The 27,760-nt window shown below is 37.8% G+C and overlaps 3 gene segments (V, D, J or C) and 1 further gene, besides 11 other annotated features; all 4 read left to right on the top strand.

The window, feature by feature from the left end:
• Positions 1-27,760, top strand: part of TRA (T cell receptor alpha locus) — a 930,229-nt gene that overhangs the window by 499,934 nt on the left and 402,535 nt on the right.
• Positions 1,690-1,729: a sequence feature (TRAV26-1 leader sequence).
• TRAV26-1 (T cell receptor alpha variable 26-1) lies at positions 1,690-2,448 on the top strand. The segment is given in 2 exon segments: positions 1,690-1,729; positions 2,161-2,448. Coding segments are annotated over 2 exon segments (328 nt in total), but the record flags the coding sequence as incomplete, so codon positions are not given.
• Positions 2,161-2,171: a sequence feature (TRAV26-1 leader sequence).
• Positions 2,456-2,478: a recombination feature (spacer).
• Positions 2,479-2,487: a recombination feature (nonamer).
• Positions 10,716-10,761: a sequence feature (TRAV8-7 leader sequence).
• TRAV8-7 (T cell receptor alpha variable 8-7 (pseudogene)) lies at positions 10,716-11,197 on the top strand. The segment is given in 2 exon segments: positions 10,716-10,761; positions 10,900-11,197. Coding segments are annotated over 2 exon segments (344 nt in total), but the record flags the coding sequence as incomplete, so codon positions are not given.
• Positions 10,900-10,907: a sequence feature (TRAV8-7 leader sequence).
• Positions 11,205-11,227: a recombination feature (spacer).
• Positions 11,228-11,236: a recombination feature (nonamer).
• On the top strand, positions 26,255-26,796 carry TRAV27 (T cell receptor alpha variable 27). The segment is given in 2 exon segments: positions 26,255-26,300; positions 26,515-26,796. Coding segments are annotated over 2 exon segments (328 nt in total), but the record flags the coding sequence as incomplete, so codon positions are not given.
• Positions 26,255-26,796: a sequence feature (TRAV27 leader sequence).
• Positions 26,804-26,826: a recombination feature (spacer).
• Positions 26,827-26,835: a recombination feature (nonamer).

The raw sequence follows: 27,760 nt of genomic DNA on the forward strand, positions 1-27,760 counted from the left end.
TCAGCTCACTGCAACCTCCGCCTCCCGGGTTCAAGCAATTCTCCTGCCTCAGCCTCCCAAGTAGCTGGGACAACAGGCACTTGCCACCATGCCCGGCTAATTTTTTGTATTTTTAGTAGAGACAGGGTTTCACCGTGTTAGCCAGGATGGTCTCAATCTCCTGACCTCATGATCCGCCCGCCTCGGCCTCCCAAAGTGCTGGGATTACAGGCGTGAGCCACCATGCCCGGCCGCCAATATCTCTTATAAACATTGAATAGTATGGGCTTTTGAACTAGCCTTTAATTATGGGAATATTAGAAACAAAAGAAAAATTAACTCCAAGTCAGCAATTGAGAATTATAATGGGAATATTATTGAAATAACAAAGTAATTTAAAAAATAGTTAAAACCTTTCTTGGAGTGTTAGAGGACTGATAAAACAAAGATGAGTACAGAGGTATTAAAACTAAGATACCTACCTTCAAACCTGATAAAAGAGTCAGAAGATTGCTGGCTGACTTTTTGCCTGATTATAGCTACACAGTTCATTCAGTCAGTCAGTCACAAGAGGGGGCTGCTTCACCTTAAAACTCAGGTTTCTTTCTTGCAGAAGGGACGCTAAGCTTATGTTTTCCACTAAAGTTCCACAGAAAACAGGAAAAAAAATGATACACTTTTATCCTCTTTAGACAAATTGTACTTTATGATCTCTTATTAAGTGTGTTATGGCTTCAAAAGTTCTGGGGCCCTTACACTGATGGACTAAGTCTTTTCAGAGCACCTCCCTTAACACTGCTTTCTCCAAGTTTCACTTCCCTAATCATCTCTTACCTCCCCTATTCCTTACACCTTTTTCTTCCTTTCCTTTACCTATTCTTACCACCGTCACCCCAAACTTCTTTGCTTTTCCTGGTCTCTTTTCTTTCCGCCTCAGTGTCCTTGGTGCACACAGTAGGCATAAGCACGGGCATAGAAATTAGGAAATGAACATGAAGGCCATGAGTTTAAGGAGGATGAGAGCCAGCACCATTTATGTCATTAGTCACTATATCAAGAACAGATATATTGAGAAATGGCTACTTAGACAACAGTCAACACATGATTCCAGGGACCTCTATAGAAAACCCGAGTTTGGGGAGACTTAGCTTTCAGTGTCAATGTTATCAATTTTTATTTTCCCCCTGAGCACATCACTTCCTACTTTTGAACTTCACTTCCGTTTTCTAGAATGTAGATGGGAATTTCCAACTCCTTACAACACAGAGCTCACTATAGGCTTCTGGGATTTAATGACACTTTCCACAAGCTCCATGGAGCAGAGGAAACTTTATTTGGTACATTGAGGAAGAAATGATGGAAGAAAAGGTCTGGATAGATACATCCTTATGATCAGTTTTCCTCATTCTGTGCCAGCCTCTTAGACTTTAAACCTCATAAATGATTTCAGTAGACACCCCCTGAGTTGAGGATGTCTGGTTGATATCCTCACCGTCTTCTCAGGAACATGACTAAACCTGGGGAGGAAGACATAGAAAAGCAACTGCTCTATCATTGGCTGACAAGATCCTGACAACAACACAATGAGAGCTGCACTCCTTGCAAGTCTTTACTAGTAGCTGTTGCTTCTGTTCTCTGGAAATTCTTTAAACCTAGAATCAGACACAAAAACTGAACTCTGGGTCCACAATCCTCATTTGTCCTTGAAGTATGAGGCTGGTGGCAAGAGTAACTGTGTTTCTGACCTTTGGTAAGTGCTCTGTGTCTACCTAGGGAGGGCTTCTGAGGACAAGGGACCCCGAAGGGTGGTTTGCCCTCTATGCTCCCTGTGCTTTATCCAGCATACTAGATATGACTGAGAACTGTTCTGTGCATTTGTCTAGGAAGTACATACATCTACATACCAGGCTAGATCATAACCATAATCCCAGAAGAGCCCTTGGCAGTATTCAGTTTTAAGAAATCTATGGGTTTACTAAATCAAGCTCCCATGGAATACAGCCTAGAGGGTCTCTGATTATTGGCATGTATCTTTGGTCTTTATAATTAACAGCAATGATATTTTTTGTGTTCTTGCAGGACATAAAAGTTTTGGAGTGTTAAGGGAGTGTTGTATCCTTGATCCATAGAATTGCATTGGTTTGAGAGTCAGGAGCTAATCTGATTTTCTTGACCCCTTAGGAACTATAATTGATGCTAAGACCACCCAGCCCACCTCCATGGATTGCGCTGAAGGAAGAGCTGCAAACCTGCCTTGTAATCACTCTACCATCAGTGGAAATGAGTATGTGTATTGGTATCGACAGATTCACTCCCAGGGGCCACAGTATATCATTCATGGTCTAAAAAACAATGAAACCAATGAAATGGCCTCTCTGATCATCACAGAAGACAGAAAGTCCAGCACCTTGATCCTGCCCCACGCTACGCTGAGAGACACTGCTGTGTACTATTGCATCGTCAGAGTCGCACACTGGGACAGATGGGGCTGCACCTGTGCAATATCTCCCTGGTGGCAAGTGAGGAGGAGGGTAGCATTCACCTAGAGCAAAATGTCGATAGGAGTCAAAAAGTAACAAGAAAAGAGGAAAAGGAAGGGAAGGAGAGAAGGAGGAAAATAGGTAAAGTAAATAAGGGAGATACGATGAAGGGTAAAAAGATAAGAATAAGAACTTTATTGTTGATGCGGCTGAGAAAAATGATAAAGAGGCTGTGAATCATAATTTGAACATAGCAATAAAATGAAGAGGGTTAAGAATTTTCAAGACTCTTCTTCATGTCAAAAAAAAATCATTTCAGTTTGTTAGTAAAAATGAATGGATAAGGAAAATCAAAATAATTCTGCTTGTCCCAAAGGCTTTTTTCGTCTGGATCCAGGGGCAAGTCCAAGCTTTGAAATGCATGCTGTTATAGTTGTTCCAATTACCAGAAACAAGTTGATGTTTCTGCAAGAAAAATCTGAAATGTTCTTTCTTACTAGTGCAGTAACATCAGTTACTAGAGCATGCATATTTGTGATGAAGGTTTTTCTTTTTGGAAAGAAACAAAAATCAAATGAATATTAATTTGTTTTTATTTTTCTTGAAGTCTTGAATCTTTAAATAGTCTTCATCACGTTTTATTTCCTAAGCAGCACACAAATCCATCTTACCATAAAAGACTCAGATAAAGCAAAAGTGAAAGACCTAGCTGCATTTCCTCATTCTTCCCTATCTCACAACACTCTTTTCAAAGAACACTAGCTTTGACAGTTTAAGGTATACCATGATAGCCAGTTTAATTTCAGTTATCTATGTTTGCATATAACTTTATGCAATCACACACAAACTTACATACATACACACAGTTTTGTCATGTAAATTGGATTTATTAGATTTTTTAACTTGCCATTTATTTTTCATTTAATAAATTGTCCTAGAGATCTTTCTATATCAATAGAGAAGTTCACTTTATTCTTTTTGGTGCTTATTTAGTACTTTGAGACATTCCATCATATAATTGCTTTTCTCTTGATGCATATTTGTTCCTATTGCCTCACTGTCATAAAGAACATTGTGTTCTACATCTTTACAGATTCACCTTAGTTTGTGTGTATGTGGAAGTGTTTATTTTAATGAGATTTCTGAAACTGAAATTACTATGTCAAAGGGAAGTTGCATTTAAAATTTTTGGAGAAAGTGGCAATTTGCCCTCCAAAGGATGTAACTACACTCCATATAATACATATATATGTATTATTATACACATAATGTATCCATTATAACTATTATATAATTAATAAATATAATACATATAATGTGTTAAATAGCTTCCAACCAACAGTAGGTGAAAGAACTCATTTTACATTTTTATAAAAATTGAATTGAGAATTACTAACGGCTTTTATTTTTATTTTACTTAATTATTCTATTTATTTATTTTGAGTCTGGGTCTCACTCTTGTCACCCAGGCTGGAGTGCAGTGGCCGGATCTCGGTTCACTGCAACCTTCACCTCCAAAACTCAAGCAATCCTCCCACCTCAGCCTCCTGACTAGCTGGGACTACAGGTACACACCATCACTCCTGGCTACTTTTTGTAGAGACAGGATCTTGCCATGTTGCCCAGTCTGGTCTCAAACTCCTGAGCTCAAGAGATCTGCCAGCCTTGGCCTCTCAGAGTGCTGGGATTATAGGTGTGAGCCACCGCACCCAGCCCAGTTTTTAATAATCCAAAGATATATTATCTTTAGTCATTTTCCTGATTCATAGTGTTTTTGAGCAACTTTTTTCTACATGTATTGGCACTTTTTCATTTGGCAATATGCTTATTCCTACCTTTTGAATATTTTTCTATTTAGTTGTCCTCTTTTCTCTTTTTATTCGTAAGAATTAGTTTCATGCCTTAAATAATACATTATTTGTATGAATATTTTATTCTAACATTACCTTTTTATTGCTTATTTCTAATATAATTTTAAATTTTTACATATTTTAACCTATCAAGTATTCCTTTCCTTTAGGCCTTGAAGGTCAATATCTTTACAGGAAATCCCTAAGTATATCACATATTTTAATATTTATTACCATTTGGTTGAGAATTATTTTGAGATGTATGTTACAGATTAGAAAACTGAGTCTCAAAGAGATTTAAAAACCTGCTAATATTCACAGTATTAATAAGTGAGCATCAAGTTTAAATTTATTTTTAAACCTGAGATTGTCTAACACTAAAATCTGAACACACATTGTTTAACCTCATCTTACTGGAAGCAATCATAAGAAGAAAACCCCAAAATAATGAATCAAATAAAGCATCAGTGGAATGGATTATAGTAGCCATCTAAGACACATGTTAGAGCAAAAGGTCCGGAATGTTAGGGTAGAAATTGCGAGTTATGAGTTGAGAAAGTCAATGGTCCTTAATCTTATAGAAAGGTAATGTTAGTACCCCAAACATTCAAATAGCAGCCAAAATGGGTGTTTTGATTGTGGAAGAACTCTAACGCATCCTCAGCTCTTTATTAGCCATATGTTTCCCAGGCAGAATGGATATTGAAGAAATTAGAACATAAAGCAAAGGAAGTAGGAAAGAGGAGTTTGATCCTGGATCTGAGTGGCTTCCAATTATTCTAGGAAACTTCACACAGATTGAGGAATTTTTCTGGTCCATAGAATGGGTAGATAAATGTAAATTACTATGATGATCATACTTGGAAATTGCTTTGATTCCATGAGTGAAAGATAAGGGAACAGATATCTACACACAAATCTTAGAAAGTGCACTGAGATGTGCTGGTAGCAGTTTCCAAAGATTGACATATCACTTTCAACGTCCTTACAGTCACTTTATTCACACTCCTTTTCTCTTTCACACAGTCTTTAATCTCATTTACCTTTTGTTTAACACCATCCTCTACTCTCCTGTATTTGAACACACAAATGTTTGAGGCCTGTATTTTTGGTTTTTATTCACTGAAGCATCCTCTGTATCTAGGACAGTGCCTGGCAAATAGTAAGTACTTAGAAAATATTTACTGAACAAATATATTTATTTATAATTGAAAATTTTTACTGGCAAATACTAAGGATGCAATAAAATACTAGGGACATGAGTTAGATTCGCTATGAGGATACATGAGCCATTCAGTGAGAAGCCCGAACTCATCAACTTTAAAGACCATTAATTTGAATCCCCTTTAGCCATTAACTCCCATAGCCACCATCTAGACAGGTCTTATGATAATGTTCTGCTCCACCTCTGAAATCTTACCTGCAGTCTAAAACCTCCCACCCTGAGATTCTCACCCTCAGTTACTCTCACTGTACTTGTTCTTTGACTATATTTGGTTATTTAGTCCCTTGACACCTTTCTTTTCTTTTTTTTTTTTTTATTTAACTTTTGTTTTAAGTTCAGGGGTATTGAACTTAAAATAGGTTTGTTATACAGGTAAACTTGTGTAGGTTTGTTATATAGGTAATTCTGTGTCATGGGGGTTTCTTATACAGATTATTTTGTCATCCAGGCATTAAACCTAGTACTTATTTGTTATTTTTCCTGATCCTATTCCTGCTCCCACCCTCCACCCTCAAGTAGGCCCCAGTGTGTGTTTTTCCCTCTTTGTGTCCATGAGTTCTCATCACTTCATTCCCACTTATAAAAGAGAATGTGCAGTATTTGGTTTTCTGTTCCTGTGTTAGTTTGCTGAGAATAATGGCCTCCAGTTCCACCCATGTTCCTGTAAAGGACATAATCTCATTTCTTTTTATGGCTGTGTAGGATTCCATGGTGTATATATTACCACATTTTCTTTATCCAGTCTTTGATGGGCATTTAGGTCGATTCCATGTCTTTGCTATTGTGCACAGTGCTGCACTGAACATACACATCCATGTGTCTTTATGATAGAATGACTTATATTCCTTTGAGTATATACCCAGAAATGGTATTGCTGGGTCAAATGGTATTTCTGTTTTTCAATCTTCAAGGAATTGGCATACTGTCTTCCACAGTGGTTGAACTAATTTACATTCCCACCAACAGTATATAAGTGTTCCTTTTTCTCTGCAACATTGCTAGCATCTGTTGTTTTTTGACTTTTTACTCATAGCCATTCTGACTGGTGTGAGATGGAATCTCTTTGTGGTTTTATTTTGCATTTCTCTAACGATCAGTGAAGTTGAGCTTTTTTTCGTATTATTGTTGACTGCATGTATAAGACATACATGTAAGACATACATGCAGCCAACAATAATAACTTCTTTTGAAAAGTGTCTGTTCGTGTCCTTTGCTCACTTTTTGTTGGGGTTTTTTCTTCTTGTAAATTTGTTTAAGTTCCTTATAGATGCTGAATATTAGACTTTTGTCTGATGCATAGTTCGCAAACATTTTCTTCCATTCTGTAGGTTGTCTGTTCACTCTGTAGATAGTTTCTTTTGCTGTTTAGAAGCTGTTTAGTTTAATTAGATCCCATTTGTCAATTTTTGCTTTTGTTGCAATTGCATTTAGTGTCTTCGTCATGAAATTTTTGCCCATTTCTATGTCCAGAATGGTATTGCTAAGTTGTCTTCTAAGGTTTTTATACTTTTGGGTTTTACATTTAAGTCTTTAATCCATCTTGACTTAGTTTTTGTAGACAGTGTAAGGAAGGGGTCCCATTTCAATCTTCTGATTTGTCTAGTCAGTTATCCCAACACCATTTGTTGAATAGGGAATCCTTTCCCCATTGCTTGTTTTTGTCAGCTTTGTCAAAGATCAGATAGTTGTAGATGGGCAGCCTTATTCCTGAGTTCCCTATTCTGTTCCATTGGTCTATGTGTATATTTTTGTACCAGTGCCATGCTGTTTTGGTTACTGTAGCCTTGTAGTATAGTTTGAAGGTGGGGCATATGATGCCTCCAGCTTTGTTCCCCTTTATTTTCACCTTATTTCTCAGAAGCTTCTTATCTTTTATTTTCTTACCTATAATGCTTATACTCTATTACCTGTTGCTTTCAATCTTTAGTCATTGACTATATTATTCTCATCCCAATTCTGCATCATAGCAGTGATCTAATTAATTCCCAATCATGAATCTGTATCTTCCTTATTGTAATGCATATCTTGTCTGATCAGAGTACACCGATGCGCAGATTGGTGTCATTAAAACATACTGTTACCAGCCGGGAGCAGGGGCTCATGCTTGTAATCCCAGCACTTTGGGAGGCCAAGGTGGGTGGATCACTTGAGGCCAGGAATTTGAGACCAGCCAGGCCAACACAGCAAAACCCTGTCTCTACTAAAAATACAAAAAAATTAGCCGGGCATGGTGGCACACATCTGTAATCCCAGCTATTCGGGAGGCTGAGGCAGGAGAATTGCTTGAACCTGGAAGACAGAGGTTGCAGTGAGCTGAGATCATGCCACTGCACTCCAGCCTAGACAACAGAGTGTGACTCTGTCTCAAATAAATAAATAAATAAATAAATAAATAAATAAATAAATGTTGTTACCTTCAAAATTAACTAGGCCCACAATGTTTCCAGGAAAGTATTCTTCTCTGTAATCACATCTCACTGCCATTTTCTAAAACTTCTCACATACCTCAGACTTCCTAACCCAGATCCTCCTCCATTCACTCTCTTGGGAGACATTTAATCTCTGTGTATAACAAGAAAAAAAATCCCATTAGAAGGTAATAGGTGTTTCACTTTCTACCTTCACACTCCAAAGTATCACTTAAATCTAAACTACTGTAATCCTTTTCTCCTTCATTTCAATAAAATTGAAAATAACTGTTTTTCCTCCTACCAAAACTTTGTCCTTCTACCCATAATCCACATTCCAATCCCATCTGTCTCCTCAAAACTTTGATCCATTGTTTATACATTCTTTCCAAAAGCATGTAAATATACCCTAATTTGTATAAACCCTACCATTACCTCTTCAACATCCTCATCCAGTTAACACCATGACTCTTTTCTCCTCTTTAGAGGATCCAGCAACCTCTAGAAGGAGATTTCTATATTCAAATTTTTTCTTCCTTGTCTCATCACAATGCCTCTTCCCATAGCAGTTGACCTTTTGCTGAAAAGACCAAAATCATGATTTTTGTGTTGTTAAAAAAATCAGTAGTTCAGTAGCACAGTATGGTGACTATAGTTATCAATAATTTATTGTATATTTCAAAATAGCTAGATTTGGAATGTTGTCAACACAAGGAAATAATAAATGTTTGAAGCAATGGTTAACTCAATTACCATGATTTGATAATTACATGTTGTATGTATGTATCAAAATGTCACATGCATTTCATAAATATGTACAATTATTACGCATCAATAAAAAATCAATAGACATTGAAAAGTTATCATCTTATAGACATTTATTTACCACTCACTCTGTTAGCCATTCATTTCTTTTTAGAATTCCTTTTTCCTTCTCTTTTAGAAATCCAGCCATTTCTGATTTGCCACTTACCTCTCTGGATACCCTTTGAGGTTTCCTTTTCTTTTTCTTTTTTTTTTTTCTGAGATGGAGTCTCACTCTGTCACCCAGGCTGGAGTGCAGTGGCACGATATTGGCTCACTACAACCTCCGCCTCCCAGGTTCAAGCGATTCTCATGTCCCAGCCTCCCAAGTAACTGGGACTACAGGCACAAGCCACCATGCCCAGCTAATTATTTGTATTTTTAGTAGAGATGGGATTTCACCATGTTGACCAGGCTGGTCTTGACTTCCTGGCCTCAGATGATCTTCCCACCTCAGCCTCCCAAAGGGCTGGAATTACAGGCGTGAGCCACCACGCCCAGCTTCAAGGTTTCTTTAGTACTTTTTCCACTATCTATCCCATCAGTGTTTGGGTTCCTTGAGGATTTTTTTAAGTCCCTATTCTCTTCTAAATTTTGCTCTAAGCATTTGTCTTGGTAAAATTGCATCTAGTCTTATAGGGTAGTACTACGTCACAGATAACATAGTGGGCAAGGAACTGAGCTTGCAGTGGAAAAGAATTGGATTCTAATCCTTGCATGTCCTTGGACAAATGACTTAACTTCATAAGGACTTGATTTCCCGTCTGTTCAGTATAGATAAGATCTACTGTAAAGGGCTATAGTGTAAAATGTGCAATAGTTATCAGTGGTCAATAATGTGGATTATTAAATCATATTGATGAGACAAACTCCAATTCTGTTGAGATAGCAGATCAGCCAGACTTGTTTTCTGAGCACTGGTCACAAGACCCTGCTGAACAAAACAGGAGCTGATCAAAACAGAATGCAGCAAAGAGAGTGGCCAAAACCAGCTAAAACCAAGATGGAGATGAAAGTGACCTCTGATTGGCCCCACTGCTCATTATACACTAATTATAATACATTTGCATGCTAAGTGAAACTCCCACCACCACCATGACAGTTTACAAATGCCATGACAATCCCCAGAAGTTACCTTATATGGCTTAAAAGGGGAGGAACCCTCAGTTTAGGGTTCCTTTTCCAGGTAATTCATGAATTTATTTATTATTTAGAATATAATCAAAAAATAGCCATATATATAGCTAGCCAACAATCCACAAGGGCTGTAACTGCTGCTGCTATTACTCTGTCTATGGAGCAACCACTTTCCTGTACTCTGTAGCTCCAATACACTTGCCTTCACTTTGCTCTGTCAGCTCACTCATGAATTCTTTCCTGTGTGAAGCCAGGAAACCTGCTGGGCTGGTTTTGGGGATCACCTACCTCACTATCACTTACTATGACTTGGACAAATTGAATCTTTTCTTCCATGCTTTAGTTTCCCCGTTTATAAAATGACGATGATAATAGTATTTACTTCATAGGATTAAATAATATTATTTACTTTATAAGATTAAAATAGCTTCCTCATAAGCAGACCCCTGAAAACACTGTCATCAGATTATTCTGCTAAGAAATTCAAACCAAGGAAATGGAGCCCAAACCCAAAAGACTCAGTGTGTTTCCACATTTGACCTCCAGGGGGCAATGTCTCACAGACCGGAAATGTCTCTGCTAAGAAGAGTTCTGTCCTTCCTGAGCGGCTTTATCTCACAGCTCACTGAGGTGCATATTCTGAGTAGGATCAACACCAGAGTGGTTGTTGTCAAGAGAGCAGCTCTTACTAGTGGTCTCTAGGCCTTACCTAAGCAGGGAACTCTTGAATCCCAGATTTTCCTCATTATAGGGACTCACCATCCTCTGGCACATTCCTTCCCACTCAGGAGATCTTCTAGAATAGAGCTCTCAGCTTCCTCACTGCCTAGCCATGCTCTTAGTGGTCATTCTGCTGCTTGGAATGTTCTTCACACTGAGTAAGTATAATAATATTGTTTCCCTGCTCCCGTCTCCATACAAGGAACATTGTTCCAATCGGAATCTAAATAGAGACTCTGTCTCATTACAGGTAGATCTGTTCTGGTCTCACTAACAGAGTGTTGATGTTGCAGGAGGAACCAGAACCCAGTCGGTGACCCAGCTTGATGGCCACATCACTGTCTCTGAAGAAGCCCCTCTGGAACTGAAGTGCAACTATTCCTATAGTGGAGTTCCTTCTCTCTTCTGGTATGTCCAATACTCTAGCCAAAGCCTCCAGCTTCTCCTCAAAGACCTAACAAAGGCCACCCAGGTTAAAGGCATCAGAGGTTTTGAGGCTGAATTTAAGAAGAGCGAAACCTCCTTCTACCTGAGGAAACCATCAACCCATGTGAGTGATGCTGCTGAGTACTTCTGTGCTGTGGGTGACAGGAGGACTGTGCCTGGGACTGCAGGAGGAGCTGAACACAAACTTCCTGAGACACTGAGGTTTTCAGGAACTCAAGGGCACAGCCTGACCTATTTGTAGCAAGGTCTCTCATTTGATGAAAGTGAGAAAGGTGGAAGAACAGAGCCATGAGGAGTGCTTGACTCCAGAGAAGAAACAGAGACTTCATCACGTTCCTTCTTTTACTACTGGGTCACATCAGACAAGATGTGGAAGAGACAGACTTCTATGACTGTTCTCCTTCTGCTTGGAAATACCACACTGAAGAGGGTCAAGTTTTTTTTTATTATACTTTAAGTTTTAGGGTACATGTGCAAGATTTTAAATTAGTGTGACCAGTACTGGACTCCTGATCCTCTCCTTCTCACTGCCAACATGCTGCTTCTATTACCTTTTGTTTTTCAATCGACAGCATCTCATTCTTTCAGAATCTGCCCATAGCCTCAGAGTTATTTTTGACTCTTATTTTTTCTTTCACTATTCACATTGAATCCATCAAGAAATTCAGTTGGCCCTAACTAAAAGATCGACCCATAGTTTGACCACTGCTATCTCTTTGGTCAAGCCACCCTCATCTCAATGAATTACCGTAGTAGCCTTCCAAATGGTTTCCCTGCTTGTCCTCCTACAGAACATTCTTAATACAGCAGCCAATGAGATCTTTCAAATATAGATAGGTCACTCATCTACTCCAATCCTTGCAATAGCTTCCCATTTCTCTTAGAGTAACATCAAAGTACTTACAGTGACCTAGAGGAATGCATGATGTATCTCTCGTTACATTTTTAAAACACCAACAGAAAAATAACTTTGGCAACCCTGAATTCTATACCAGTAAAAATATCACAAAGAAATTATAGTAAAGACATTCTCGAAAGGAAAACTGAGAGAATTCGTTGTGAGCAGACCTGCTATAAACGAAGTCCTAAAGGAAGTTATTCAGGCTGAAGGGAAAGGATACCAGAGGAAAATTTGCAACTTCAAATACGAAGGAAGAACAACAGAAATAGTAAATAGATGATAAGATACAAGAAACTAGTTTCCATTTCTCTTTTACAGTCAGCTTTACTGAGGTATAAGTTATATACAAAAACTATACATATTTAATATATGCAATTTGATGAGTTTGGACATATGCATACAACCGTGAAACCATCATCACAATCAAGGCAATAGACATGTTTGTCACCTCTAAAAGTTTCCTTGTGACTCTTTGTTTTTGTTGTTATTGCTGCTGCTATTGTTGTAAGAAAAATTAACATGAGATTTACCCTCAATAAATTTTCAAGTGCTCAAGCCTGTATTGTTAACTATGGACACTATGTTGTATAGCAGATCTTTAGAACTTATTTTTACATAACTAAAACTTTAAAACCATTGAACAACAACTCCCAATTTCTCCCTCCCCCCAGTCCCTGGAAACCATTATTTTATTCTCTGCTTCTATGAATTTGACTATTTTAGATACCTCAAATAAGTGTAATCATGCATTATTTGTTCATCTGTGACTGGGTTATTTCACCTAGCATAATCTCCTCCAAGTTCAATCGTGTTGTCACAAATGGCAGGATATTCTTCTTTTTCAAGGCCGAGTAATGTTTAATTGTATGAATATACCACAATTTATTTATTTATTTGTCACTAATCTTTCTTTTCCATATCTTGCATATTGTAATACCACATGCAGAAGAATAAAATTGAACACCATACGCAAAAACTTACTCAAAATTAATTAAAGACTTAAACATGATACCTGAAAGTGTGAAACTACTAGATGAACACGTAGAGAAAAAGCTTCATAATATTGGACATGACAGTGATTTATTGGGCATGACACCAAAAGCACAGACAACAAAAGCAAAAAAAGACCCATGATATTACATCAAACTAAAAAGCTTCTGTGCAGCAATGGAGCAATTTATGGAAAGGGAGAAATATTTGCAAACCATATATTGATAAGTGGCTAATATACAAAATATGCAAGGAACCATAAAACTCAGTAACAAAAAAAAACAAGTTTAAAATGGGCAAAAGACTCAAATAGACATTTCTCCCAAGAAGACAGACAAATAGTGAACAAGTATATGAAAAGGTATTCAGTATCACTAATCATCAGGGAAATGCAAATCAAAACCACAATGAGATATCACCTCACAAATGTTAAGATGACCATTATTTTTTAAAAAGTTAAGTATAGGTGAGGCTGTGGCAAAACTGAAATCCTTGTACAGTGTACAGTGTTCTTGGGAATGTAAAATGGTGTAGCTGCTATAGAAAACATTATGGAGTTCCTCAAAAAATTTTAAATAGAACTACCATATAATCCCCAAACCCTACCTCTGGGTATATATCCAAGATAATTGAAATCAGGATCTCAAATAGATATCTGTATTCCCATGTTAATTTAAGCATTATACACAATAATTTCTCTTCTTAATTTATTTAAAATGCATAGACTGTTGAAATAAAATGTTATAAAATTCCCCGTTGGGGTTTTCAAAGTCTAAAGATGGAAGGCATCTGAGAACTATAACATGAAGAAATGAGGGTAAAGTAACCTATATACAATTTCTATATTGTTCATGAAGCAGTATAAATAAATATAAACAGACTGTGAAAGATTAAGTAGTAAGCATAGTAGTAGTAGGCAATCCTAATAGAAACCACTAAAAACATAATACAAAAAGAAATAGTCAAAAATCAAATAGATACATTATAACAGAATAATAAGAGACCAAAACAAAGGGCAGAAGTGGAAAATGAATACTGAAGTAATAGACTTAAATACAACCATATTAATAGTTACATTAAATGTAAATGGTCTAAACACAGATATTTAAAGACAGAGATTATCAGTATGGATTTTTTTCTTAAAGAAGACCCATCTACATATGAACTGACTTTAAATACAATGACAAAGATTAAAAGTAAAAGAATGGAAAAAGAGATCCATGAAAACACTAATCAAAAGAAATCTGGAAGGGCTATATTAACATCAGACAAATGGGACTTCAGAAAAAGAAATATTAAAGAAATAAAGTGAAATATTACATAATTATAAAAGGGTTGCTTCACTAAAAAAATGTTTAAAGTGCTTGTACCTACCAACAAAGCTTCAAAATATTTGAAGCTAAAATGGTTAGAACTAAAAGAAAAATAGACAAAACCGCTATTACACTTGGAGACTTAAACCCTTTGTGTTCAGTAAATAATAGAACAAGTGTTATAGTTAGAGAATCAGCAAAGATGCAGCAGACCTGCTCAACACTATTATATTGACATTTATGGAACACTCCAGTAAACAACAGAAAGAACATAAAGCCATGCTTAGAAGAAAATTTATAACAGTAAACATTTACATTAGAAAAAGAAAAAAGGCTCAAATCAATAATTTTATTTCTTCCTTCTGTGTGTCCCCAGTGATGATGTCCTGCACAGAAAAAAATAATCCTAGCAATCCAAGAAACTCTGTTTTTGAGTTCAGGCAAAGAAGAGTATTTTCTGCTGTTACTGCACCAGGTACCCAACTGGAAAATGATATGTCTCATATTTTATATTGCTCTCCTATGCTCAAAGATTAAAATGAGATTAATTCTATTTATATCACATGTCACAGTTCTGGAGGAGGTTATGAGCCTTCCTATTATAGTAATGATATCAGAAAGGGTACAAGATAAGTTTAGTCCTTCATCTTTTAAAAAAATATATCAGTTATGAAGATTGTTCGCCACGAAATGAATTCCGTTATATACATTATAAATTATATAGGACATTATAGGGTACCTTACAATACATCTGCGTATTTTCACACAAGGTGAGATATCACTAATTATTAAATGGAACTATGCCACTATGTTTTTCCTTAGCTTTTCAAGGGATAAGCACAAGAATATTCAAGTTATGCAGTGGGTCAAGCCTAAGAACAAATGGGAAAGCTGATAGAATAAAGAAAGACTCAGGCTAGGTTCTGGACTAGCTGGGACTAACATATAATAAGTCCATAAGTGCAGAATGAACTGGATGTGAGGAGTGTGTAACCCTTCTCCATTTCAACGTGCCCACCTTTTGCTTTATTTTTCGCTGAATGCCTCTCAATATAACAATGTAACAACACACTGACATCTCATTTAAGTGTCAGAAGCATTATGGTACATGATAGAGGGAACAATCAGCTTTTCTGTGTCCTATTTGATCTTTGACAGTATAAAAATCTGACTTTTTTCCTGTGGGCAGGTATAGAGGGCGTATATGATAATTTTGTGTACTTTCTGCTCAATTTTTCTGTAAACATAAAACTGCTCTAAAATAGTCTATTAACTTTGAAAAATCAATTTTAGTATAGAAGCTAAAAAGAAAAAAGAAAAATCAATCCAATGCGCTCAATCTCATAGAAAATATTTGCTACAACCAGTTCGGATTATTTCTTACTTTCCTGCCTTGTGTACTCTCTTCAACTTTTTGTGTTGGTGCTTCTTTGGTTTGTGTATTTACTATGCAGCATGCATTATGTAAAGTTTTGCATATATTATATAATTTAAGTATACTAACATGAAAGTAGAAATAACTTCTGTTAGGAAAAGAAATATAATAAGTAATTTAAAAGAAAAAGTTTATGGATTGGATAGGGTGTGTAGAACTCTCAACTCTGTCATTATTTGAATTATAGTAGAAACGTTAACAAACATCTTAAATTTCAATTTTATCATCTGCTTACAGGAGATCATCATGATCATCCTGTCGGCAGTTGTTCCAATTATCGAATAATAAAATATCTTTCAAGGGCTTAGCTCATATTCTAGCACAATGTAAACATTTAATAAATTATTATAGGTAAAGAAATGGAGGCCCAGAAAACATAACTAATTTTGCTCATAATCAGAAACCTAGTGCATTAGAGAAAGAACACTGAGTTTTGAAATCCTAGCTATAAAATTTAAGCCAAATATCTTCAACTTATGATATCACTGATCTATTCTCTTGAATACATATATTGGAAGTAAAAGATGAGCAGCTAGAGAAAAGTAGAGGAAAAGAGAGAAACCAGGGGAAGCACTTTGAAACCACCAAACATGTATTATCTCTTCAGATATTCAATCACACAGATAGGCATACTCCTTGATGGCCATTTGTACTAGGGCTGCAGGACTTGATAAAAGAGAACCTACAACAACATTCTGTAACCTTCAATTGATTTGTTGCCCTAGATCTGGTCCGCATCTCTCTACAAGGTTATAAATGTAATGTTGTTTTCAGCTGTTTCTCCTTGTATTAATGAAATGGAAAATCCTTTCTCTTCTGTCCTGACACAGCCCTGATTATTAACTGGAGTCACAATATTTTTCTTTCTATTGTTATACAAACTGTGTGGAAAGTATTCTCTTTATTCTCAAGACTATGATTTAATCCAGTTAGTAAGAGGGAAGATCAAGATAGTTAGCTTGATTTTTCCATTATTCAGTAGATGGGCCTTTATATAAATGAAGCGGGAGACTGGCAGTTTACTCCTATACTGTGTGAGCTTCCTTTCATTAAGACCTCGGTGTCTTACAGCTTCTCATGACTCTTCTCTCTCCCACTGTCACCTTCTATAGCAGCAGGCTCTTTCCTGGCAGATCTTAATGTGGGAATTAAAAAAGGATTGATGTGTCCACATATTACCACAGACAGATTGATAGGGTCAGGCTAGAAAGAACTATGTAGAAAAACTCGGCGATAGAAGCAAAAGGCAGAATGGGATGTACAGCTGAGCCAGAAAATACAAGGCAAGAAAAGATAACAGAGATCGAATGCCCATAAATGTCCTTATTTCTGTGCTAGGGCTCTGTGACTGCAGGTACAACAGAGAACACATGAGATCCTAAGGAAAGAGTGTATGTACGGGCGTTGGAGGCCTGTGAGTACCATCAGAACTTCCTGAGTTTCTTCCAAATGTCCTTTCTTCAGTAGGTATATCTCTGAAGCACCTGTGTGTTGAATGAAGAATTACCTAAAGGGCTGAATCTTTCTCTTCTTACCTTTTCTCTAGTCAGTGCCAGACTTTAGGGCATGTGTCCTCTGGGATCACAGACCTCATTGAAAACAAATCCCAGTATCCCAGTATGGCTTCCATTCTAGTGGGAATGGGAAGGCAGGCCCCCGTTGTGCTCCTCTCCTGGGGATGAATGTTCACTGAGGTTCTGCAGTACCTCTATGCCATGGCTCTCCTTTAGTCCTGGAAACAGCATTCAGACTCCAGTCCGTCATAGCAGTCACTCAGGATCTTACAGCCAGCTCAGCAACAAACAAAAACATAGTCTGGGGCTCATAGCATCCCTTCCAAAGACTAGATTTTCTGATTTCAGGTACAAGATTCTTGTGACAAATGACAGAAACAATTTGTCAATTCTTCCGAACAGAAGGTCCAGCAACCTGAACCTCCCAGGGTGGACCAGAGAGATGCTGTTGTATATGACTATGCTCTGAGAGGGATGAGAGTGACAAATGAGGCTGCTACCGTGTGATAGCCCTATGACAAAAATGAAAAGGATGGCAGCCTTGGAAGCCAGTTGAAGGAAACATACATAAAACACACTAGCAAGAACAGAATGCTTACTCTTTCTTTTTGATAAGAAAGCCCATCTGTCATATGCTTCCTTGGTCTAGGGACCAGGTTACAATAATAATGATGATAATGATATTAAAATATATCATTTAATATCATTTTCATTAGTAATAAATAAAAAAGATCAAGTAAGTAAGCACGAAATTCAAGTAATTAGAAGAAAGAAATAAATCTAAGGAAATCATGAAAATGGTACAGATAAATGTATAAGCATAACTAAATTATGAGAAAAAAGAAAAAATAGAATTGGACAATTTTTTAAAAATTGAATCATGAAAAAATTAGATTAACTCTTCTTTTATTGAAGTAATTATTCAAAAAAGAGAGAACCTATGTAATAGGTATTATACAGGTGTATAGATACATTTATATATACATTATATAGTTTTCTATCACTTTGTTATCTTAATTTATGTTTTAGTCCTCCGTGTGTTTCTTCTTCCTTCACCTGTTTTCAAGCAGGTGGTGTCTCTGTGCTTCAACATGTAAGTGATGATGCCTGGGAATACAGAAAGCTGTGTTTGCCTGTAGAGTCTTCTGGCTTGTTTTGAAAAATCTAATTTCTTTCAGGAATAATAGGGTTTATGGAAGTGGGAGAGGTGGAAGGAGGTTTTTTGGTATAAATAGAAGAGAGAATGGCTTTTCCAGGAGAGAATAAAGGGGTCTGTGCGTCCTGGGCAGCAGGGAACAGGTCGTTGTTTCTTGACAACTCTCTGAGAATTAGTAAGACCCAAGAGTGGGATGGCTGTTTGATAATTAGAAAGAGTTCCCAGGCTTGCAAAAGATTTTGGGGACTCCATAAACCTGAAAAACAGAAATCTTCCACTTAGAATACACACCTAACATGAATAGTTCATAACATATTGGATAAGAAGGCTATGTTTGTGATTCCACTCACAGACCATAGTGATACCATTTATAGTTAAATTGGCTTGTGAGAACGATTACTAGGCAAAGAATAGAACTTGTCTTGGTTGTCTTTATAATCACATACACAGGTCTGTCTCTTTGAAGCATTAGATCTCAACAGTTCTTAAGTTTGGATATTGGGCTGGGACAGATGAAGAAGACCTGGGGATCCCTCAGTTCAGCTCTCATGGCTTCACATTGGATGTGAGCACAGAGGCTGTCAAAGACTTTTCCCAACAGGCTAAGGGATAGGGCAAACAGTCACGCTCATTGTGGATTACTCAGAATTCCCTATGAGAAAGGCATAAAAAGGTTGTAAATTCGGTAGTAATCCTGAATTTACAATCTTATGCAGTTCTGCCCATCAACAGGGAGCAGACTTCGTGATCTCTGCACGCTAAAGGGGGAAAGAAGATCAAAGCTTCTTTTCATGCTTTAACAGGTATTAGCAAAATTCTGAGAAGGATTGCCAATATCCTGTTCATAATGAATCTAAACTGGAGTGAAAAGGAAGAGGTAAGAGCTCTCCTTACTAATAAGGAGGCAGAGCTTCCTCCACCCTTCAGTCTTCCAGCCTGAGGCTCAGCCACCTACCTCTGTGTGCTATGTTCTTTTGGCACCTGCAGCCTGTCCCCAGTGGTGCTGCTGGGCTTATGGCTCCCAGTGTCAAGGCAGCAAACTTATTCTCAACAGGTGTATAGGGAAAGGCAAACTCAGTGAATCAAATATTTTTAATATTCTGAAAAAATGATCTGGAAATACAAACATATAACATTTAATAAATATTATTTATAAATCATATGAACCATTATCAACTTCTCTTCCTCTGCCTCAGCCATGTCAGTAACTCAGTTATTCTCTCTTATGTCTTGGCATTATATGATACTCGAGATTATTCAAGTGTATGCATTGGCCTATAGTAGTTGCTTTTCTGTTTCTATCCCCTAAATATTGGTTATATTATCTTATTTTTTGCTCCTACATGAATGGGACCTACAATATAAGCAGTCCCCACTTACACACACACTTGTGCTTAAATCTCAATAATCTCCTACTAGTGAATGCAGTGCAGGTCTCTTTAATTTATGGTTACTTTTTTCCAGTTTCTTCCATTTCAACAATGTGCACATTTTGGTTTTTGTGCCACCTCACAATTTTTCTTTCCTGACTCTTTGTTTCCTTGAGAGGATCAGGCAAGAGGAAACTGACTTCTCTCATCTATCCATACCCACTCTGTGATCTTAGATAGGCTTCTTCCTCTATCATATGGAGACAATTTTACCTACTCTACCTCTTACAGGATTATTCTGAATTATCTTCCAAAATGAAGATTTCTTTGCATCAAATAATATAGAACTAGGAAAGAATTATATATATGATGAGATGAGCCTCATTGTATGGGTGAAGTAAAATGTGGACTATTTCTGAAATGGATTGTATATTAAATTGCAATCTGGTTAGAGGTTTAAATCACTAAAGAGGTAGTTATTCATATAAAACTGACTTAGAGTTGCTTTGATAAATTAATCAGGAACACAGACCAGTTAATTAATTTATAGCACCTGTTAACATCCAAAGAAATTAAACCTTTCTTCTCAAAATTAAGCTCTAACCGTTTACACTATAGTCATTTTAAGTATTTTAGGATTATGGGCCAGGCGCGGTGGCTCACATCTATAATCCCAACACTTTGGGAGGCTGAGGCAGGTGGATCACCTGAGGTCAGGAGTTCGAGACCGGCCTGGCCAACATGGCAAAACCCTGTCTCTACTAAAAAATACAAAAATTAGCCAGGCATGGCAGTGGGCACCTGTAATCCCAGCTACTCAGGAGGCTGAGGCAGGAGAATCGCTTGAACCTGGGAGGCGGAGGTTGTAGTGAGCTGAGATTGTGTCACTGCACTCCAGCCTGGGCAACAAAGCAAGAGCCCATCTCAAAAAAAAAAGAAAAAAAGAAAGAATTTTAGGATTATGTAAAGCTACTAATTGGCTTACAGAAACTGACTAAAATAGGAGGTCTTTTCCTTGGAAGGAAAAGATGTAATAATCTCAGTTTTGGATAAAATTGGGTAGAACAGATTTCCCTACGGTGGTTAAAGGGATAAAAACACAAGATATCCCCAGCATCTACATTACAGACTTCAATGAAGGAAGTAAAAATATCTCAATAGTTGAGTTGAGGAAGTGGGTCAAGGATATGAATATCCACAGATGCTGACAAGGGAAATATATGTTATATTCATAAAATTCAAGTAATTAAGATAGGTAAGTATACATGTCCACTTAGGTTAGATGTTAATTCTTAATAAGTAACATAATGATCTGAGGCTCTTTGTGTGCCACTTCTACATCTCAAACTTTGACGTGGATCCCCTGGAGATCTTGTTAAAGTACAGATTATGATTCAGTAGGGTCTGAAATTCTGCATTTCTAATAAGCTCCAAGGTCATATTGAAGCCGCTATTCTGCTGAGCAAGGTTTCCACTATCTGAGAGGCAGTATTCCACAGGACCTAAGTGGGTCCACTCTTTAGCCACACTGCCTAGATTAGAAGACTGGCTCTGCCCGCTTACTAACTATATGACTATGGGAAGATTAATGAACTTCTCTGTGTCTCAGTTTCTTCATTTGAAAAATGAGAATAATGTTAACTTCCTCCAGTGATGTTGTGAAGAATAAATGTGTTGATTTATATGAAGTGTTTAGAAAAGTCAACAACATTGTTAATTGTACATATTGTTTGTCAAGCTTGCCATATCAAAAATATCTATGTGTTTTTGACTACTAAATACCTATGTGTTTTTGATTGGTATTTAATTGGCTACTTGTGTACTAGTTGTTTAAAAAGGGACAAGGTGACTAATTATTGAGTTTTATGTAGTTGTTACACTTCTTCACATAACGCTTGTCACAGAACAATATAGTCATATATTCTGGGCATTTTTCACTCAGGATGAGTGTGGCTGATGAGGCTGATGTATTCTTGGATTTTTCTAGGTGATGATTCATCTGGGCTGGGCCTTTCATTAGGGCCTGTTGAGAAAGAATTGAAGTAGTAAAGCTGAGCTTCAGGGAATCCTCTAAATAGATTGGTTGAAACACAGTCTGGTTTATATACATAATCTCAATGAAGCCTCAACACATCCTTGTGGCATAAGTAATATAAGCCCCATTCAACTTATTAGAAAACTATTACAGGCGTGGGTTAAGTAAATTGTTTGATGTGACCTAGCCAGTAAATGGCAATGATGGAGTATTAATATAAGTATGTCTGAATCCAGTATCAAGTCATTTAGGCAGAATTCATCACTTCTCTACGAAAAGTGTTAAGTGTTAAAAATATTTCTGAAAGTTTTCTCTTGTATCCAAACATTTTTATATTCAGTATTCTATTTGTCCTGGTGATCCTGAGCTCCCTTGAGGACATTGGTGGCACTAAGGGGAGGCTTACACAGAACTGGTGCCTTGAACTCAGTTTCCCCTCACCACCCTTATCACACTGGAGGCTACCCAGGGTGGACTCAGAGTGGAAGGAGAATTGTCCATGTGGACCACAGGCTCTCACCGTGGAATGATTCTGGAGGACTTGATAGTGTGGCTAGAGGTTCTATTTTAAGCTCTGAGAAATGTGGAAAATCTCCTGGGGAGGTCAACAGTTGACCCTGGCCCTTTCCTCTCTGGTGCAACCTCCAAAGGGCTATTCTATTTCTCTCGCTTGTCACTGAGCTCTACTTCATGTGTAAAGGCAGGTTGGATAGTTTCCAAATCTTTGTTGGGATGCCCCTCTAAACCTTGGATAAAGTCTTTCCCTGTGGCCCCATTGTTAGCAGTTATTACATGTCCAATGTTTGCCTGTAATGCTGCTACAGGTCTTTTTTGACACATTAGTTTTGAAAATTGTTTTTGACAGCAGCTCTTTTGGACACTAAGGACCTGGAAGGCAGAGACCTTATCTTGTCTCATTTATATCCCCCAAATCTAGTACATGGCCTGAAACTGTGTTTATTAAATGAAGAATGTGTTGGAAAATTAGATTCTGGAGAAAGGCTTGCTTAGAATATTTTAATCAGAAATGAACTTTGTACTTTTTCGCCTATACTCCTACGGAGCCACATTTTTTCTAATTATATACCAAGAGGAATAATGGTACAGTTTGAGTGTGAGTGTTTTTATTTTCTTTTTTATATATTGATAACAAACTTTTTTTATAATGGGCATATTTGGGGTAGAATATTTTCTTTTTAATATATTGATAAACTTTTTTTATAATGGGCACATTTGGGATAGAATATACTTCTATCCCAAATGAACATGAAACAAGCAAAACATTTCTTCAATAACTGACCAAAGATGATAGGGATTCCACTTCACCTTAGAATATGAATAGCTAAATAGTGTGACTTAATTGTGTCATATATTATGAATAACAGAGTTCATGAGAAAATGAGCTATATTTTCATATATTTGACGGAGCAGAATATGGCAGTGAAAGAGCAAAATCTCTTTCATCTGGATATTCATCATCCCAAACCAAATCTTCATTAAACTTGGGTGCTAGAGCTACTAGGAAAGCTCTTGGGAGTCTTCTTTGAGACTTTGCGGTGTGGCTTCTGATGAACTGTTAATTTGGAGACTTGCATAAATGTAAATAAAGTGGCATTAGGACAGTCCTCAAAAGCCAAAAGATGGAAGAGTGCAACCAAACCTGGCTCATTTGCAATTGCAGTGATGCCTTGTGGAAATAAAATTAATATCTGGGGTACAGTGGCTTTAAAGCAAGATCCTAGATCACTCTAAATAGCTGTGAATCAGGAAAAAAAAAAAGTTTCCGGTTGCTGGATATTCTAGATCTTCATTTCTAGATTCCAATTATTTAAGAGACCACAGAGCCTTTGTCACCAGGACAGAGTCATTTGCTCTGATAAAGGGGAACAAGATCTTACAAAGAACGTTGTTGATGTGAACAACTAGTTTACTGAAGACAAGTCCTTCAACACAAAAAGAAACAAGAAAAAGAGAAGGGACAAGCAAATTGTTATCGTTCAGTCACTCCTTTTCAATCCACTTGTTACTATCCTGATCCAGGTTCTCATTATTTCTCACCTGGCTAATTGGAATAGCTTCTTAAGTATATCCTCTACCACTTAGTTCATGCCTCTCCAATCTGTTACCACCTCTGGAGTTGTCCTGCTAAAACACATGTGTAACTAGATTACTAACCTATTTCAGGACCTTCCACAGCTCTTCATTACCCAAAAGTAAAACTCAAGGTTTATTTGGCCATCTACACCACTACTCCCCGTAACTTTTTATCCTCATTCCTATCATTACCTCCATGATCTCTGAACTTCAGCCCATCAGATGACCTCACTCTAACACCTCCTTCTTTTATATGTTATTTCTTCATAAACTTGGCAAAACTCTACGCAATCATAAAGGCCCAGTAAACATGATACCTTTAAAAAAAAGATTTTTCCAAGAGGTGCCTCTACTTCATTATATCCTTCAGGCCAATTCATGACTATATTTCCTTTTCTTATACCCAGTAGTTCTTACTTAGAATAGAACCCCAGGAGGAAGATATGACTCCAGCCACACTGTTCTGAATTCCATCCTTTTTATAAGGATGAAATCCAGAACAGAAAAATTCTGTGGCAGAATTTTTCTTCTGACTGAAACTGCAAGGAGATTCAAGCACTAAAAAAGATCATTCCATATTCCCAATCAGTATAATGACAACGATAGTTAATCCCAGTGTCAAGGAAATTTTCTTCTCATTTCCATCTTGAAGCTAAATCGTTATTCTACTTTTCAGATAAAAGCATATTATATCTAAAGGGCTCGGGTTATGGGATTCCTCAAAGAAGCAGTCAATAGCTTGTAATCCTTGAGCAGCTCTTTTCTTGTTCCCATGAGCCCCACAGGCTGACCCCCTCTATTTTAAGCCCCTCAAGGAATCTGGATTCCCACATACCCACTTACAGGTAAAATTTTTAAAAAGAAAATGCATATGCATTGTATTTTCCCATTTAAGATATTAACAAATAGTCATATGGCCAATCTGACTATCTTTACTAATGACTGTATGCAATGGCTGAAACAATCCTCTCGGTACACAAGATTTTGTGATATTTGAATACATACTATACTCACACCACAACATCTATATCCTTAAATCACTATACCAATGCACAAACAGTTTACATATCAATTCATGATTATGTGTTCACATCTTTCTGTCTAGTAACTGCTGGGGTTACAAGAGTGAAAAAAAAAGCACAACCTTTTCCACAAGGAACTTGTAGATGAGCCCAACAAGTGCAATTACCAGATAGTGTGATGAGGGCTTTGATAAGCATGAACCAGGGATCTAATAACAGAGTAATGCAGTAGAATATCAAAAAAGTATTCTAAATTAAATAATCTACAACAGAATTGTTCATCTTTAATTTAGTAAAAATAGGTTTATGACACTCATGCTCTATGGCCCTGTAAATGTAGCATCATTTCACACCACATATGCCCCCTACTACAGTTACAGTTACTCAGATACTACATGGCTCAGCACGCTTGTTGAGGATATCAGAAATGATAAGATGGTACTTTCATTATTTTCTATTATTCTTTTATTCTGGCTTTTAAATGATCAATGTTTAAAAGGATATATTTTCCATTTTTTTTAATAAGGTCACAATACTCTTTCTGTAACCGGACCCCAGTCCAGCTGCTCTCCACTTGAAAGCCAAACAGAGAGCCGAGGGTAGATGGGAAAAGCAGGTTTAATATGAGAGCCAGCAAACTGAGAAGATGGCAAACTAGCATTCTAAAGTACCATTTTACATTTTTAAATTCACCATGAGATTTTAAAAATGAAACATAGGATGGGAGACATGCAGGAATTCTGCAGGGTGCAGGGTTTGTGTGTCTTGTTCTCGAGGCTGTATTGGGTAATTGCGCCTCTGGGGGTCTGGAAGTTGTTATCTTGACTTCGGCCTGGTGGTGGTGGACAAATTGTTCACAAGTCCCCCTAAGCTTGATGATGCCTCAATGGGGACTGCGTGGTTTGTTTCTAGGTTTGACTCTGGGATTTCTTAAGCAAGAGAATAATTAGACAAGCATGCATTACTGGCAAGGAGTGTCCAGAGGGGAAGAAATGAAGGGATGAGAGGGGAGGGAAGGGAAGGAAGAAAAAGAAAGTGGGTGAGGTCCCCAGTTACATTTCTACTTTAATCTTGATATTTATGCCTACCAAATGCAATTGGGAGAAACAGAGCATTATTGGAAATAAATCACTTTTCTATCTCTCCACAGGAGGGTAGTATTTCAAAAGGCAACATACATTTTGGGTTGGAGGAAGGGGCGGGTGGAGAGTGAATGATTCCATTGGCTGCCACACTGAGGCTCCTGGCTTTCTATGGAACTCAAAGTGGGTGGCAGCAAGCACTCTTCTAGCCCAGAGAAGTCTGTTCCAGGACGGGCTCTTTCAGGAGCAGCTAAAGTCAGGGGCCATGTCCACCATGTGATAGAAAGACAAGATGGTCCTGAAATTCTCCGTGTCCATTCTTTGGATTCAGTTGGCATGTGAGTTGAAAAGGTTCCCAATTAAATTAACAGAAAATCCCTGATGGCAAGTTGTTTTATGGCAAAGTATGAAAGGAGGAATTATAAAAGAAGGAAGAAAGGGGGAAAGCAAGGGAGGGAGGAGAAAGGAGTAAGGAGGGAGGAAAAATCATTTCAGGTTGGGAAACAATCCCTAATTCCCTTCCCTGGTTCCTTCTGCTCTGTTTCTAAACAGGGGTGAGCACCCAGCTGCTGGAGCAGAGCCCTCAGTTTCTAAGCATCCAAGAGGGAGAAAATCTCACTGTGTACTGCAACTCCTCAAGTGTTTTTTCCAGCTTACAATGGTACAGACAGGAGCCTGGGGAAGGTCCTGTCCTCCTGGTGACAGTAGTTACGGGTGGAGAAGTGAAGAAGCTGAAGAGACTAACCTTTCAGTTTGGTGATGCAAGAAAGGACAGTTCTCTCCACATCACTGCAGCCCAGACTGGTGATACAGGCCTCTACCTCTGTGCAGGAGCACAGTGCTCTTGAGGCACCTGCTGCCTGCACCCAAACCCTGCTGCCAGCCCCAGTCACGAGGCTGCCACATGCCTCCAGCTCCGCCTCGCACAGCTTATGGCATGAATAGAGAGAACAACCTCAGCCCCTCATGGAACCATTTCTGCTGCCTTTCCAGAAAACATTTTCCACACACACTGGAGGACAAGACCCCTCTGCTATAACACAAATATCTGGAAATGCAGCCTGCTATTAGGATCATTAACGATATGGGCCTGCAACTCCCCGGGGTAGGCAGTAGCAAAGAGAGTCGATATAGAGGGACAAATGGAAGCTATCAGACAGACTGTTTCTGAGTGTTCCACCCCTGTGTAGAAACAAAGCAGAAGGCACCAGGGAAGGGAGCTAGGGATTCTTTCCCAACCTGAAATGAGTTTTTCTCCCTCCTTCCACCTTTCTCACCCCCTCATTCTCTCTTTCTTCCTTCTTTCATTAATTCTTCCTTTCATAGTTGGCATCAGGGATTTTCCATCTCTTTAGGATTTTCTGTTAATTTAAATGGGAACGCCTTCAGCTCTCATGCTAATTGAATCCAAAGGATCAACATGGAGAATTTCAGAATACTTCATGGTTCAGATTGGTCATTCCGTTTTCCAGAAGACCACACCCAGGAATGTTCAGTACAATGGGGCAGAAATGGATGGTTTCCCAGCTTTCTTGTAGTACTCCAGAGATGATGAAGCTGCTATCTTTCCAGACTCTTACACTGCAGTAAAATGCAGAAGTATTGTAAAAATTAGAAGAAAGTTACTACCTTTTTGGAAGAAAGATACCGATAGTACACCTCAGTAGCATCCAACTGTGGTTTCAAAGCAACATCCTAGTTGGTGGTTCTGAAAGTGACCAAACATTAACTACAATGGCCTGTATGTTCACAGGACTGGCTTGGGGAAGAGTCTTTGAATGGCAAATGTCAATAACTT

This window comes from Homo sapiens, chromosome 14 (genome assembly GCF_000001405.40).
Source record: "Homo sapiens chromosome 14, GRCh38.p14 Primary Assembly".
Lineage (NCBI taxonomy): Eukaryota > Metazoa > Chordata > Mammalia > Primates > Hominidae > Homo > Homo sapiens.